A 15687-nucleotide genomic window follows, 5' to 3' on the forward strand; every position below is an offset into this window, starting at 1 on the left:
CCTAAAAGTTCAGAGGATGATCATCAAGGTTTCCTACAGCCCTGGGCAAACCCTAGGAGTACTTTGTCTCCAGGTTCAAGCATGTGCCTGTGAGAGGCGTGGCCCTCACCTTCCCTCCACCACAGGTTGAGGGAACCCTAAACCTCTTTTGCACAATATCAAGGAGTGCTGACTAATCCAACGCAGAAGCTGTGATGTTTGGCAGATGCAGAGGCAGAAAAGGTGTTTTGGGAAAGATCATCTTTAAACAACACGGCACCCTCATAGCCCATAGAGACAGTTCTCACCACTACGCCAATAAACTTGGAAAAGACCAAACCAAACTTTACACATATTTCCTTTTTCTTTTTGATTCTATGCCCCCTCCCTCAGCCTCCCAAGCAGCAGGAATACCCTGAAGGGCCCTGGGAACCCTTGCCCACTGAGTCCCACCTGGAAAGCAGTTCCCTAGCTGGAGAGTCCTCCTCATCAGTTATGCTCTCCAGCACCCACACTGGAGAAACACAAACAACAGGAGAAGTCATTTGAGAGAGGCTACCCACTCCTAGTCCCGCTGAAGCCCCACTGCCTCACACAGGATTCCCTGGTCTTTCCTCTGGGTTCACAGATATTCCTGCAGCCTCTCTGGCCATAGCTTTCTACTGGAAAGTCATTTGCTCTCACCAGGCCCGTAATGCTCCTTCCCAAAGGAACCCAGAATCAGGTTTCCGTACACTAGATCCAGCAAGTTTGTTCCTCAGGAAGTGAGCCATTTCAAGGTAAATACTCCCCTCTGAGGTTGATGGCATCTGCAATTATAGAACACATTAGGAGGATTAGATGATGCCACGCATGTCACACATATCTGTTATTCTCTTGGCAACTTTAGAAAATTGTAAGTATAGTGGTAGAGTCAAAGGTCAAAGTCCCCCAAAACTAGCACAAAGTACACCTACAGAAAAGACAAGAACTTTTCCAATAGAATTTACCTTTAAGGTTTATTTAGATGGGCAGTTTCACAACTCTTTTTTATTTTTATTTTTATTTTTTGAAGGAGTCTCGCTGTCCAGGCTGGAGTGCAGTGGCTTGATCTCGGCTCACTGAAACCTCCGCCTCCCGGATTCAAGCGATTCTCCTTCTTCAGCCTCCCAAGTATCTGGATTACAGGCACATGCCACCAAGCCCAGCTAACTTTTGTATTTTTAGTAGAGACGGGGCTTCATCATGTTTGTCAGGCTAGTTTTGAACTCCTGACCTCAGGTGATCCGCCTGTCTTGGCCTCCCAAAATGCTGGGAATACAGGTGTGAGCCACCGGACCCAGCCACTTTCACAACTCTTAATCCATGGGGAAAACTGCTGCTGAGGGAAAGTCCTCTGCATTGCAGTGGATAGGGAATGCTGCCATCTACAAGGCCCCAGTATGCCAGGTGTGGGTTGGTGAGAGGCTGCCAACCAGTACCACCCAGCAAGGGAACTGTGGACATCATAGATAATGCACCCTGTCAGATTCCCATGTGTATATTTGACTGGAAAGGAAAGCAGCCAGGAAAGTAACATTTCGGTTTAAGACCAAGAAAAGTGTCTTACATTGCCAGCATCTTCTTTTTTGCAGATGTCTCCTACAGCACCCTCAGGAGGAGCTAGGAGAACACAGAGTAAGGGTCAGTGCCCTGGTGGTGGCAACTGTGTCACCCAGAGAGCTTTGCTTGGTGTGGTACATGGAGGTAGCTGATCACAGCATGCGCCAACCTGATGCTGGGCCATGCTCCAGGTGGAAGGAGGAGGGCAACAGAGAGAGCAGGAGGGAACTGAGACAAGGAGGCCTAGGCCTTGTCCTTGTCCTAAGGCATCATGAAGCAGCACAAAGGAGTAAACCCAAAATGGACCTAAAATGCACACCAAGGTTCAACAGAAGGGTCCCTTCATCACTCACATGATTTGAAACTCTTCTATACAAACAAGACTTTCTTAACGTATTCAAGATTATCTCAGTGTACTAGAATCAAACTATGTTGGTACTGCATTTATTATCTATTTTACAGGATTTATCACTTGATTAAAAGCCAATTTTATTGGTGAAATAGATTCAATTTTAGGCAAATTATTCTATTTATTGCAAATTCTTTTTCATACAGATTACCGAAACATTAAAAATACTGAAATACTACAGATTAGAAATAGTCATACTTTCCCCTTTTTAAGTCTTCTTGAGCCATGGTGCACACACGGCACTCTTGGGCTGCTGTGATCAGGAGATCCAGGATCCTTTGTGCCACCCTCCCTGGAGACGTTACCTAGAGGTCTCGCTTCAGGCAAAGAGGTCAAGCTCAGAGCCTGCTGGATCTGCTCTGCTGAAGCTAAGGGACATGACTCAGACACGCTCTACAGTGGGAAGCGGTTTCCAGGTTCAGATATGCATCATCTACTGAAATGAGGAAGTAGAAAAAATAGAAATTGACAAGTTCATGAGAAACTGCCCGTAAGTGCAGGTGTAATTATTTTTGTCAACTACCTTACATTCAGTATGTATTCAGACATATATAAGGTATTTTTATAAAAGTTGCAATTTTTAATTTTTGTCAGTTATGTTAAATCTAACTTATCAGCTGTCAATATAAAGACTCTACCTCATTTTCTTTGTGGTTTCCAGAAAATCTAGCACATGGTAAGTAGAACACCAAAATATTTATTAAATGAAAACGCAGAGCAGGGGTTGGGGACAGGCAGGCACGCAGGCAGGCAGTTATATTTGCTTACCTGGATGATAGTAAACTACACAAAACCTTAGTTAGATTAATACTGAAATTGCCTTCTGCTTTGGCTGTTTGCCGTTTTGGAAGAAGGACAACAATGAAGATGAACAGGAAAGAAATGAGAAACAGAGACCTTTGCTTACTAGCTAAAGGCTACCTACTGTAACACGAAATTGTCTACAAATGGTTTTCAACTCTGCGTGCTGTAATTCAGTGACAGAGTTCCCTAATTCCTCCTGTCTGGCTTCAAGTCCAGCTACATCGCCGCTATCTTCTTTACAACTTGCAAGATGCTGCTGCTACTGCACTTATCTGCTGTATGAGATTTACACTTGTTTTAAAGCAAAACTTTATTTCACGTAGGCTAATGGCCAGGCAGGCTACACTAGTCAGTTAACAGTGAGACGGTTCCTCATGGAGGAAAGGTTAGGTTGAGGCTGAGGGTCCTTAATCCAGATGTATAACAGAGTTGCCACGAGGCAACGGAAACCACACTGAGTGGAGCAGTGTTCTTATCTGTCTCTCTTCACCATTTTTAGCTGGCAGGTTTTGAGCATTTTAGGGCTTGTGAACATTACTAAATCTACTGAAATATATCACTGATCCTTATAAGCTTTGGCCAGCTGCTGAGCAAAATAACTTCAGAACTGTTCTATATGGTCCCCCACATCTTAGAACCTGTGAGCTGACCCAAAACATCCGGGGATCTTTGTGCTTTTGACACTGAGGACTATGCTGGTCTGTAGGAAGATGTGCCTATAACTGCTCTGGGTTATGTGACCATGGAGGTCACTTTATGGTGATGGGCAGAGTCTGGGATCTCTCAGGCTCAGTGCTTTAGGGCTTGTACATGAATGCTGGACTCCTGCATGGTGATGAACACCCTGTGACTGACGCATAAGTGCATGTCAGCAGGTGACTGTCAGCATTGGGCCACACACCTGAGCTCATGTTTTGACTTTTTCATTCAGGAGCTCCAAAGCTGGGGCCACTCCCATTGGCCCTTCAGATTCTCCACCTGAGCAGTGAGGGTAATGAAAGGTGGCTCTGGCACGGGTGAATTAGTCATGTATGGAGAGAGTAGAACAGGGGTGGATTTTACTTTTTAGAAGTGGAGACTGGCAATTGTGCTGTGTAAATGGAAAATCTCTCCTGAGAAAACACACAGCCTCCCCTATACGAAAACACACACAATCATATCACACGATGCAGACTCATAAGACACCAGGCAAGCGCACAGCCCACCGCCCCCATAGGAATGCAGCTGCTTCATCAGATGGAGACATTTGGTCATAATTTTTGCCTGGAGAACTTAAAAAAAAAAGTCCACTACCCTTATTCCTATCAGAATCCCAGAATCAGGGTGGCTCTTCACATTGAAGCCAGCAAGGATGTCACACCTTTCTTGACATCCAGACTTTTCTTTCTCAGCAAGTAATTCCAGAGTACTTACTGGAGTCACACCTCAGAGGGGCCACCTGCACGACCTGCAATACAGAAACAAAGCTATATGAGGGGCACATTGAGCTGTGGATTGTTTGCACCTGGCTCTGTTTCTCTCAAAGAGCATTAAAAACTGCATCAGAAACTGTAGTCAACTCCAAGGCTCCCAAAACAAGGGTAGGATGCACACTGGAAAAGACATGAGTTTTTCCTAGAAGGTGTATCTCTTAGGTCCATTTAGGTCGGCAAGTGCAAAATGCTTAATCCAAGAAGACATTGCTTCCAAGAACAAGGACCCCAGGGATACAGTCTATAACCTGAGGCCATCATACGTAAATGTCATTTTGGGTTACATATCAGTTGCTAAGAATCTCTTCTTCCACCACCCCAGAAAACAGTATTTAATGTCTATAATGCACATCGTTTTTTTCACATGTAAAATTAATTGAAAAAGCAACCAAGAAAGGAACATGTCTATTTTAGGGAAAGCAAGGCAACCTCACCCTCACGTCGATCGGCCTCTCTTCATCTCCTCTGCCCTCATGAGCTGGAAACTCCTGCGAGGCTAGAAGGACACAGAGCAACTGTCGGTCATAGATGCTTCTGTTCATGATTTATCCAGGGAGCTCTGCTGAAGGTAGACAATAGGACAGTGTGTGTGGATGTGTTCGGTTAAAAGCACAGCTTGGACTGCGCTAGAAAATTTTTCCTCATGAAAAGACAGGCAAGAAAGAGGAGCATGAAAGGAGTGAGAAACTGAGTCCCTGGCATTTTGCTAATGGCAACCTAACGCAACAAGAATAAGTCAGTCTACAAACAGTACTGAAGTACATGCTGTAATTTGATGAGAATCCCATTACTCACACTGCCGGTTTTGAAACCCAGCTAAATGGTTTTCTAAACCCCGTAAAACAATATTAGCTTGTAAGATTTATGCCCCAAGACCATTTTTATGTCAATGGATCCACATTGGCTGTCACTGCAGTTATTATGTGTTTTAGGATTTTGCACTTGAATAAAAGCAAAGTTTAATGGACAGATTGGATTCAATTCCAGGCAAAACAGTCTATTGTATTTATTCACTAATCCTTTGTTATAATCAATGACAGAATTAGAAACACTGAAATTATATCCTTTAAAATAACCATTATTAATAACCCACTATTTTTTCATCCAGACCGCCTTTTCTTTGTCATGTATGCATATTAGTTGAGTTTGAAGAATATCTGTGCTTGTTCTGGCCAGCTGATGTTGGACAGTTTATTTCAGGAGAGGAGATGTGGGTTGAATACTGGTATGTTTTAACTCTGCAGTACAAACAGTTGCAACAAGTTTGGTGAACTAATCACCAAATGGCCCTTTGCTGCCTTATTTGTCATTGTGCCTCATGTGTAGCTTGCAGGATTTGATCACTCCTAGGTCTTTTGGTGATAATACACTCTACTGTTTCAAAAATATTTCTTCAATCCTACCTGTTTGGGGCCAAATGCTGAGGAGTATCCTCAGCACTGAAAGAAGTTCATGAAAGTCTCTCAGTGCTGCTTCCCAGTGACCAGAACTTGTGACCTGGCCATGGCATGAGAAGTATCTGGGCCCTCTCTGTACTGCCCACACCAATGACTATGCCCAGTGATACAGTTACATTCACTGATGTCTGCCCTAAGCTATGTGATTACTGTGGCCACCCTGTAATCACAGCCAATGCCTGGGATGTCTGCAGACTCGCAGAATTCTAGGACACACATGAGTGAGGGAGCCACCTATGCTTATAACTCATGGCAGGGTTGAGAGCTACCCTTCTCGGCGTGATAACTGCAGTTCAACGACTCACTTGCTTCAGCCTTGGGGCCACATGTCTAGGTTCACATCTTGTCTCCTTCACTTAGGATCCTGCAAGTTTGGGCACATTCATTTAGCACCTCAGTTTCTCCATCTAAGGAGTCTGGACAGTAAACTACCACAACTTAGGTGAGGTTTGCAGTGAGGGTTGAATGGGGTACTAAAAGTAAAGTGTGTGTTGTGTATGGTCAGCAAGGTCAATTAGAGGTGAACTGACTTGCCTGAGGTCTCACAACTTAGCAAGATTCAGAGCTGCTTTCAAACCCAGGAGATAAGCTTCCAAGTCAGGGCTGATTCCATAACACAGACCTGTTTTGTCCAAAAATAACCACTTCAGCTTAGCCCAAACTTGGTTTTGAAGGAATCAGATAGCTCTAGGTGTCAAAAATGCTTTTGGTGACATCCTGATTCCATGCAGTGGCTACTTCCAAAAAAAATTTTTTTTAAGTGAGTGCTGTCTACAAAATGAACCAGTAACCTGACAAAAAATCCACAGATACCTGGTCCAATGGGATGAACACCAGTTTACCTGGAGAGGAGAGTGACCTGCTATATCATCTTGGTGTTCTAAACTCATGATACACTATTATCTCATATGACTTATTCCTCCCAAATGTAAGTGGCTCTGCCTGAGCCCACTGCCCAGCTACAGAGATGAGCACAGCCCAGCCTTGGAGCAGTGCTTGGGATGAAGCGACAGGAGAACCATTTTGGGCATCTCTTACCTCTGAGGAGGGCAATGGGTTGGGTGAAAGTATATTATTGATATGTCTGTAAGTAGAGAATTCTGGGTAATACACAAAAAATATGTTTAGGAATCATGTTGTGGTAGTTAAATGGACCTAGACACAGACATTATCATTAGATATTTGGGAAAACTCATGATATGAGGAGAAGCAAAAGCAACAGGCTCTCACACGTCATGAGCTCAGTATACATTTCCGTCTCAGGAAAAGAAGGAAGCCATGTTAAAAGGAAGGTCAGGCTTCCTTCATTTGTGAAATGCTTCCCTGCACATTTCCTCCACTCCAGATTCACTGTAAATTTCTGATATTAGTAATTTAAAAGGTAATTAATGATGTTAAAGCAAAAACAAAATAGACATTGCCATATTCTTCCAGTTACTAGCTAACAGGGAGCCTTGGTGTGCAGAACAGAATGAGAAATACTACGTATTACTAAAAGGAAAAAAACAAAGACATCATCTTGAAGAAAGAACTAAAACTATAAATTGTGGAATAAGAAGACAAATTATTTTTTGAACAATCTAACTAGGCCATTTGGAAGGACATCATTCAGTAGGGAGTATGAATTTAACTGTACAGTAGCAATATACATTTCATATCTTGAGAAAATAGATATGAAGCCAATAACTTCTCTACCTTTTTATATATAGAAAATATGAAATAATGTATAAGAATGTATTAGTGTTAACAAGTTCAAAGTTGCAGAGTATAAGGTTGACACTCAAATGGCAGCTGTGTTAATATACACCAACAATGAACAGTCCAATAAGAAAATTGCATATGTAATTCCATTTACAATAACATGTAAAATGATTACATACTTAGTAAGATAGCTAACCAAGGAAGCAAAATACTTATACCTCAATAAGAACAAAACATTGCTGAAATAAAGTAAAGAGGATATAAATAAGTAGAAAGGCATCCTGTATTCATGGACAGGAAGACTAAACATTATTCAAGTGCAATACTATACAAAGTGATGTACAGATGCACCACAACCCCTGTCAAACTGCTGACAACCATGTTTGCAAAAATGGATAAGAAAACCCTCAATTTTGAATGAATTTTCCAGGGGTCTCAAATATTCAATAACATTGTAAAAGAATTGTGTTGGAGGACACACGTTTATGAGATTGAAATGTACAATACAGTTACATATACTCAGAAAGTATGGTCCTAGAATTAGGGCACCCATAAGGACCACTGGGACTGATAGGCCAGAATTAAACGCATACATATATAGCCAAGTGATCTTCAACAAAGTGCCATAAATATACAATGGAAAGTGGAAAGCCTCTTCAGCAAATGATGTTGGTAAAACTGCACATTCTCATTCAGATAAACAAACTGAATGCTTACTTTACACCATATGAAAAATTAATTCAAAATGTGTCAGAGACCTAAATATAAGAGCTAAAATTATAAAACTCTCAGAAGAAAATATTGGGATAAGGTTTCATAGCAGTGAATTTAGCAACCTTTTAATGAATATGACACTAAAAATAAGGCAATGCTTAAAAAAATCAATTTTTATCCCAGAACTTAAAGTATAATAAATAGAAAAAAATCAATTTTATACAAATTAAGGAAGTTTGTACATCTAAAGTTCTAAACAAAGGGAGAAATATTTGCAAATTATACATCTTGTAGGAAATTAAAAATTAGAATATATTCTAAAACTCCTAAAAATCTACAACAACAATAAACAAAAGACAAAAGACAATTCTAAAAATGGGCAAAGTACCTGAATATATAAGTCTCTAAAGGAGGTATACCCAGCAGAGGAAAAGCTGCTCGGCATCATTAGTCATTAGGGAAATGCAAGTGAAAAGCACAAACAGGTACCAATATACACCTACTAGGATAATTTTCTTTTTTTTTTAGACGAAGTCTTGCTGTGTTGCCCAGGCTGGAGTGCAGTGGCTTGATCTTGGCTCACAACCTCTGGCACCCAGGTTTAAGCGATTCTCCTGCCTCAGCCTCTGAAGTAGCTGGGATTACAGGCGCGTGCCACCATGCCCAGCTAATTTTTGTACATTTAGTAGAGACGGGGTTTCAGCATCTTGGCCAGGCTGGTCTTGAACTCCTGACCTCGTAATCCACCCACCTCAGCCTCCCAAAGTGTTGGGATTACAGGTGTGAGCCACTGTGCCTGGCCTTAGGATAATTTTTTTTGTTTTTTTTGAGACAGAGTCTTGCTTTATCGCCCAGGCTGGAGTGCAGTGGCACTATCTTGGCTTACTGCAAGCTCTGCCTCCTGGGTTCACGCCATTCTCCTGCCTCAGCCTCCCAAGTAGCTGGGACTACAGGCACCCGCCACCAGGCCTGGCTAATTTTTTTTCTATTTTTTAGTAGAGACAGGGTTTCACTGTGTTAGCCAGGATGGTCTCGATCTCCTGACCTTGTGATCCACCTGCCTCAGCCTCCCAAAGTGCTGGGATTACAGGCGTGAGCCACCACGCCCGGCCGGATAATTTTTTTAAAGGAAAATAGTTTAAAATAAGTGTTTAAAGGAAAACAAGAAATTATAACTGTGATACATTGCTGGTAGAAATGTATAAAGTTGCAATCACTGTGAAAAACAGTTTGCAGTTGCTCCAAAGGTTAAACATAGAACTACCACTGGACCCAGGAATTCTAGTAGTAGGTATATACCAAAAAGAATGGCAAACAGCACTTAAACAGATATTTGTACACTAATGTTGATAGCATCACTATTCACAAGGGCCAAAAGATGGAAAAATCCAACTATCAGTGAACAAATGAATGTATAAAAACAAAGTGGTATATACATGTAATGGTACATCATCCATCTGTAAAAAACAATTTTGATATATGATACAATGCGGATGGATACTGAAAACACTATGCCTAATGAAATAAGCCAGACACAAAAGGAATATTGTAGGATTCTACTAAAATCAAGTGCCTAGAATAATCAAATGCACAGACACAGAAGATGGGATAGAAATTACCATGGGCTGGTACCAACCAGTCTTGTAAGGTGCAGTTGGAAACCGGGGACATGGCAGCACCCGGCCCAGTGCTCTGCCTTTTGGACGTTGATGGGACCCTGACCACCCCGCAGCAGAAAATTACCAAAGAAATGGATGACTTCCTACAAAAATTGAGGCAGAAGATCAAAATCGGAGTGGTAGGCAGGTTGGACTTTGAGGAAGCGCAGGAGCAACTGGGAAATGCTGTGGTTGAAAAATATGATTACGTGTTTCCAGAAAATGGCTTGGTAGCACACAAACATGGGAAATCCTCGTGTAAATGGAATATTCAAAGTCACCTGGGTGAGGTCCAAATCCAAGATTTAATCAACTATTGTCTGAGCTGCAATGCAAAAATTAAACTCCTGAAGAAGAGGGGTACTTTAATTGAATTCTGAAATGGGATGTTAAACATGTCCCCTATTTGGAAGAAGCTGCAGACAAGAAGAATGCATTGAGTTCTATGAATTCAATAAAAGAGAAAATATAAGAGAAAAAGTTGTAGCAGATCAAGGAAAGAGTTTGCAGGAAAAGCCCTCATGTTTTTCACAGGAGGCCAGATCAGCTTTGATGTCTTTCCTGATGGATGGGGCAAGAGGTATTGCCTGTGACATGTGAAAAACGACGGTTATAAAGCCATTTATTTCTTTGGAGACAAAATCATACCAGGTGGCAACGACCACGAGACCTTCACAGACTCCAGAACCGTGGGCTACTCCATGACTGTGCCTGAGGACACACGCAGGATCTGTGAAGAGCTTGCCTAATGTGTGAGTGGGAGGGGCAGGGGTGGTCCCGGCTGACTAGCCAGCAAGGGGCATTCGGTGGCCAAAGCCAAGGGCCCTCCTGCATATGCTCACCCACCCACAGCCCAGCCAAGCTCTGTGTACTGTGCCAAGCATGTGTGGTCTTGACCTGCACCCCTGACATGCCGTGCCTCCACCTCCAGTGCCAGAAGCTTCCAGAAGGGAGGAGAAAAGAGTTGTCAAGAATTGCTTAGAGGAATACCTCACATGAAAGATTTTCCCCACCCATCCGCGGCCCCCTAGTCTAATATACCCACCCCAATATGTGCAATCACAGTACACATGGTTTTTGGGGAAATTTCCCCATCACTCCAGGGTGATACGGAAAGAAAAAATGTGCCTGGACCCTCCCTCTTTGTGGGTCTTGTGAAAACATCAGCGATTTTAACGTCTGGATGCGTCAGCACCAAAACGGGGATTTGGTGATGAGAAAGCAAGGACAGGCCATCTGCAGTGGCCCACCCCAGGACAGAAGTTTACAGACACCTCCTGGAACCAAACTCCCGCCTGCAGGTTGCCTCGATGCAGGTGGTGGCTGTGAGCAGGGGCAGTGTGACACCCAGTGAGTAGATGCACTCCTTCTGTTTTCCTGTTTGTGAAGCTGAGGCCTGCTGGACAGATGGCTGGCGGACTGACAGCAAACCCCATGGAGTTTGCACCTCAGCTGGCCCTGCCTCAGCCAGCTCTGTATTTACTACACTAGGAATAGCCTGGCTGATTTTCTGTATCCATGACGGGAGGCAATGGGAACCAACAGCCCAGCTGGAGAGTTGGTGCTGGCAAAACAGTCCTTCCCCTGGGGGCCGGTTCTTACCCAGGTCCAGAGAAACTAATGTAGGATGTCAGACTTCACCAAAAGGCCCTTCCAGTTGGCTCTGGCTGGGCTTCCCAGAGGCGTTCCTCTCTAGTTCCTCAGGGACGTGTGAGAACCTGGCTAGGGAAGAGGAACAGGGGCTGTTCTCCTGTCAGCGCCTACTCAGCCCCTCACCCGGACTTTATGACTGAGGGGCCTGAGTGCAGCTGCAGCTGGGCCTGCGTCCCTCACTCTTTCCACCTTCTGCACATTCTTTGTGAAACTGGAAGGAGCTCACAGACCTCATCCAGAACACAGTGGAAGAGAACTTGCCTAGGAAACAGTTCACGTCTCACTTTTCAGGATGTGGAAATGCTGGGACCCACAGACCCTACATTGGTTGGTGCTGGGGCCATGTGGCCTCCACTGGGCACTTGCCGATCTGAGTATGGGGCCAGGGGGGCCCAGGCTGCCCTGCACTCCCACCTCCCAGCCCACAGCAAGGTGCTTTCATCACAGCGAAACCTGGTTCCCTCCAAACCTCCTAGCCACTCGGGCCTGTTAGCTGTCTGAGCCCCAGATCAGGTTGGGCGAAAGCAGGCAGCACCTCATCACAGTGACTCCCAGAACACGGCCATCCACAGGCATCTTTCCTTGTTGAGTTTTGCAAATGATACTGTAACGACTTCAAAATGAAAAGTAGCACATTAAAATGATTTTATTGTTTCCTAAAAAAAAAAAAAAAAAAGAAAAGAAAAAGAAATTACCATGGGCTGGAAATAGGGGGAAAGGAAGTATATTGCTTACTGTCTTCAAGGTTTCGTTAGAAATAATCAAAATTTCAGGTGTAGATAGTAGTGTTGGTTATGCAACACTGTGAATATATTGAATGCCACTGAGTGCACACATTTGTTAAAAGGTTCAAATAAATATTGTGTTATGTATATTTTCCCAGAATAGAAAACATGCACAGCCAAGCCCAGATGCCAATCTTTGTAGGTGCTTTCCTTTACCTTCAAGAGCTGGCCAAGGCTCATCCAATCCCTCAAGGCAGCTGGGAAGTCTAAGACTGAAGTCTGCACTGGAAGAGAAATTAATGGAGGGAGGAGAAAAATTAAGAGTCCATACTACTCACTCCCCAGGGCCAACAACTCTCTCTCCTGCACTTTATTGATCCAGCTCAGTATCTCCTGTGACCACCTCCTTTTTTCAACTGAAGACTTTGCACCTGAAGAGACTCCCAGGTCTTTTACCCTGGCCCTTGTCAGGGCTGATCCTCTCAGCTACTGCCCATTTGACCTCCATTCATGTCCAGGCCACATCAGGCTGTGTTGTCTAGGTGGAATGAATCCACTGTGAGTCAGGAGCCATTGGTGCTCCCCCAAATGTCCCTTTCTGGAGGAAGCCACCATTATGCTGTTCCTCCAACATGTCCACACACACACAGGCATCTCATTCACGCAAGGTGTGTGTCCTCCGACGAAGTTTCACACTCTAAACCCAGATAACTTTTGAAACCCAAGTTTTGTTGATTCCCCTTACTTAAGTTGTTCATTTGTCTACAAAACACTGCCCCAATTAAACTGCCAAAAATGTTTTGCAGAATTTGTATGCTAATTCTGACATTGTTATTACAAGTGTTTTTCTCCCTGAAAATTTATGTCTTTGTTACTGATAAAAGTATATAACTACTAATGCTGTTTTCAGCTATGTTGCCAAGCACATTTATATAAAAATATATTCTTAATTATTTTGAGAATCTGACAAAGACAATAACAACAATAATAATCTCATTTGCTTTATACTCATCTTTATATGTGTTACTTTATTCATTTCTTACATGCTGGGGCTTACCATACAGTGTACAATGAAATTGGTACTATGCAGCATGGCAGGAATGTACATTGGCATAGCTAATTTGGAAGATAGCTTTCTTGTTTCTTAAAAAAAATTAAATTTGAACTTAACATTTGGTCCAGCAAATCCACACCCAGGAATGCTCCAAGTGAACTGAAAGCATATTCTCCAAAGTCATTTGTACAGACATGTGTCTCTTAACGACAGTGATGTGTTCTGAGAAATGCATCGTTAAGTGATGTAGTAATTACGCAGACATCATAGAGTGCACTTACATAAACCTGGATGGCATAGCCCCCTATACACCTAGGCTGTATGATACAGCCAATTGCTCTGGGCTTCAAACTGTACAACATGTAACTGTACTGAATACTGCAAGCAAAGGTAACAAAATGATAAGCATTTATATATCTAAAATCTAAATATAGAAAAGCTACAATAAAATATGGTATAAAATATAAAAATTAGTACATCCGTATAGGGCACTTTACCATGAACAGAGCTTAAAGGACTGGACGTTGCTCTGGGTGATTCGGTGAGTGAATGGTGAGTGAATGTGAAGGCCTGGAATCTTACTGTACACTACTATAGACTTTATGAACATTGTATCTTTAGACTACCCTAAATTTATAGAAATATATTTTTATTTATTCAACAATTAACCTTAGCCTACCGTAACATTTAAAATTTATAAACTTTAACAATTTTAAAAACAGCTATTTTGTAATACTACTTACCTTAAAACATAAACATATTGTAGAGCTGTGCAAATTTTTAAAATATTATTCTATATTTTTTCTATTTTAAAATTTAAGTTTTAAATTTTAAACTTTTTTTGTTAACAGCTGAGGCTCAGACACACACATCAGCCTAGGCCTACACAGGATTAGGATCATCAATGTCACTGCCTTCCGATTCCACATCTTGTCCCACTGGAAGGGGCAGAAACACACATGGTGCTATCATCTCTTACGATAACAACACCTTCTAGCATACATCCTCAAAGGCCTACTTGAGGCTGTTTTACAGGTAAGTGGTTTGTTTTAATACGCAGATAGAATATATTCTCAAATAATTATAGAAAGTATAGCACAGTAAATACATAAACCAGGAACATAGTCATTTATTTTCACTACCAAGTATTATATACTGCACATAGTTGTACATTCTATACAGTACTTTAACATAACTGGAAGACCAATAGATTCCTTACCATCGGCATCATCACTGATGCCTGTCTAATGTGTTACGCTACACACTTGTGACAGCTACAAGACACTAGGTGATAGGAATTTTTAAACTCTATCATAATCTTATGGGACTGCCATCATACATGCTATCCATCATTGACCAAAATGTTATTATACATTACATGACTGTATTATGAATGCTCAAAGCAGCATTATTCATAATACAAAAAACAGAAATAATTAAATGTCCATCAACTGATGAATGAATAAACACTGTTTATATATCCACACAATGGACTATGAAGCAATGAAAAGGAAAACACATGACTGGCACAAGCTAAAGCATCAATTAACTTCAAAAATAATAACTAAATGATTAAAGTCAGACCTCAATATAATATATTGTATGATTCCATTTCTATTACACAGATGGGAAATTTATACAGACAGAATATCAGAGCAGTATTGCTTAGGGCTGGAGATGGGAGTAGGGATTGACATGGGCAAGAGAGAACTTCAGTGAGAGAAACATTTTTAAGTTAGGTCATGGTGATGGCTACACACAGTGTCAATTTAATAAATCATCAATTGTGTACCTTTATAGTTGGGTGAACTTTATGATAGGTTCACACCCAATATGGTGTTATAAATAAATTAATGTTATGGAAATTCTTATCTGGTTTTTAAGCAGCCAAGATACACGCTGTTTAAGCAACATTAATTCAGATGGTTGCAATAAGTCATTTAAAGTTTATAAGGTAGTTGTCCCGTAAATATATGGTGAATGTTATTCCATGAATTTCCTGTATCTATTGCAATAATCATATTTTTTCTCTATTAACCTCTTATGGTGGCTAATTTTATTTATTGCATTTTCAATGTTAATCTACCATATCATATTTTGAAATCATATTGGTCAGAATTTATGGTATTTTTATTCATCACATACTTCAATTTACCTTATCTGATTTTAGTTTCAAAGCTATGCTGCCATTTTATTTAATTGCACAGTATAGAATTTTCTAATTTATAGAAAATTATTATGTCCTCCTTGAATTTTTTTTTAGAACTTAATTCTAGGAATTTATATGAGGTACAGTCCATAAAGAATTGTTTTACACCACATGTTCTCACTCATAGGTGGGAATTGAACGATGAGAACACATGGACACAGGAAGGGGAACATCACACACTGGGGCCTGTTGTGAGGTGGGGGGGGAGGGATAGCATTAGGAGATATACCTAATGTTAAATGACGAGTTAATGGGTGCAGCACACCAACAT

At 41.7% G+C, this 15687-nt stretch overlaps 1 long non-coding RNA gene and 1 pseudogene across 1 annotated transcript; one reads left to right on the top strand and one right to left on the bottom strand.

Annotated features, from left to right (window-relative positions):
• On the top strand, positions 9743-10674 carry PMM2P1 (phosphomannomutase 2 pseudogene 1; annotated as a pseudogene).
• Positions 11438-12492, bottom strand: LOC107987262 (uncharacterized). The gene is made up of 3 exons (XR_001753527.1): positions 12370-12492; positions 11964-12084; positions 11438-11493 (listed from the first exon to the last, which is right to left on the bottom strand). It is a non-coding gene; the product is annotated as an uncharacterized LOC107987262 (long non-coding RNA).
• Positions 12493-15687: the final 3195 nt, after the last annotated feature.

The sequence above is a fragment of the Homo sapiens genome, chromosome 18 (assembly GCF_000001405.40).
Source record: "Homo sapiens chromosome 18, GRCh38.p14 Primary Assembly".
Classification (NCBI taxonomy): Eukaryota; Metazoa; Chordata; class Mammalia; order Primates; family Hominidae; genus Homo; species Homo sapiens.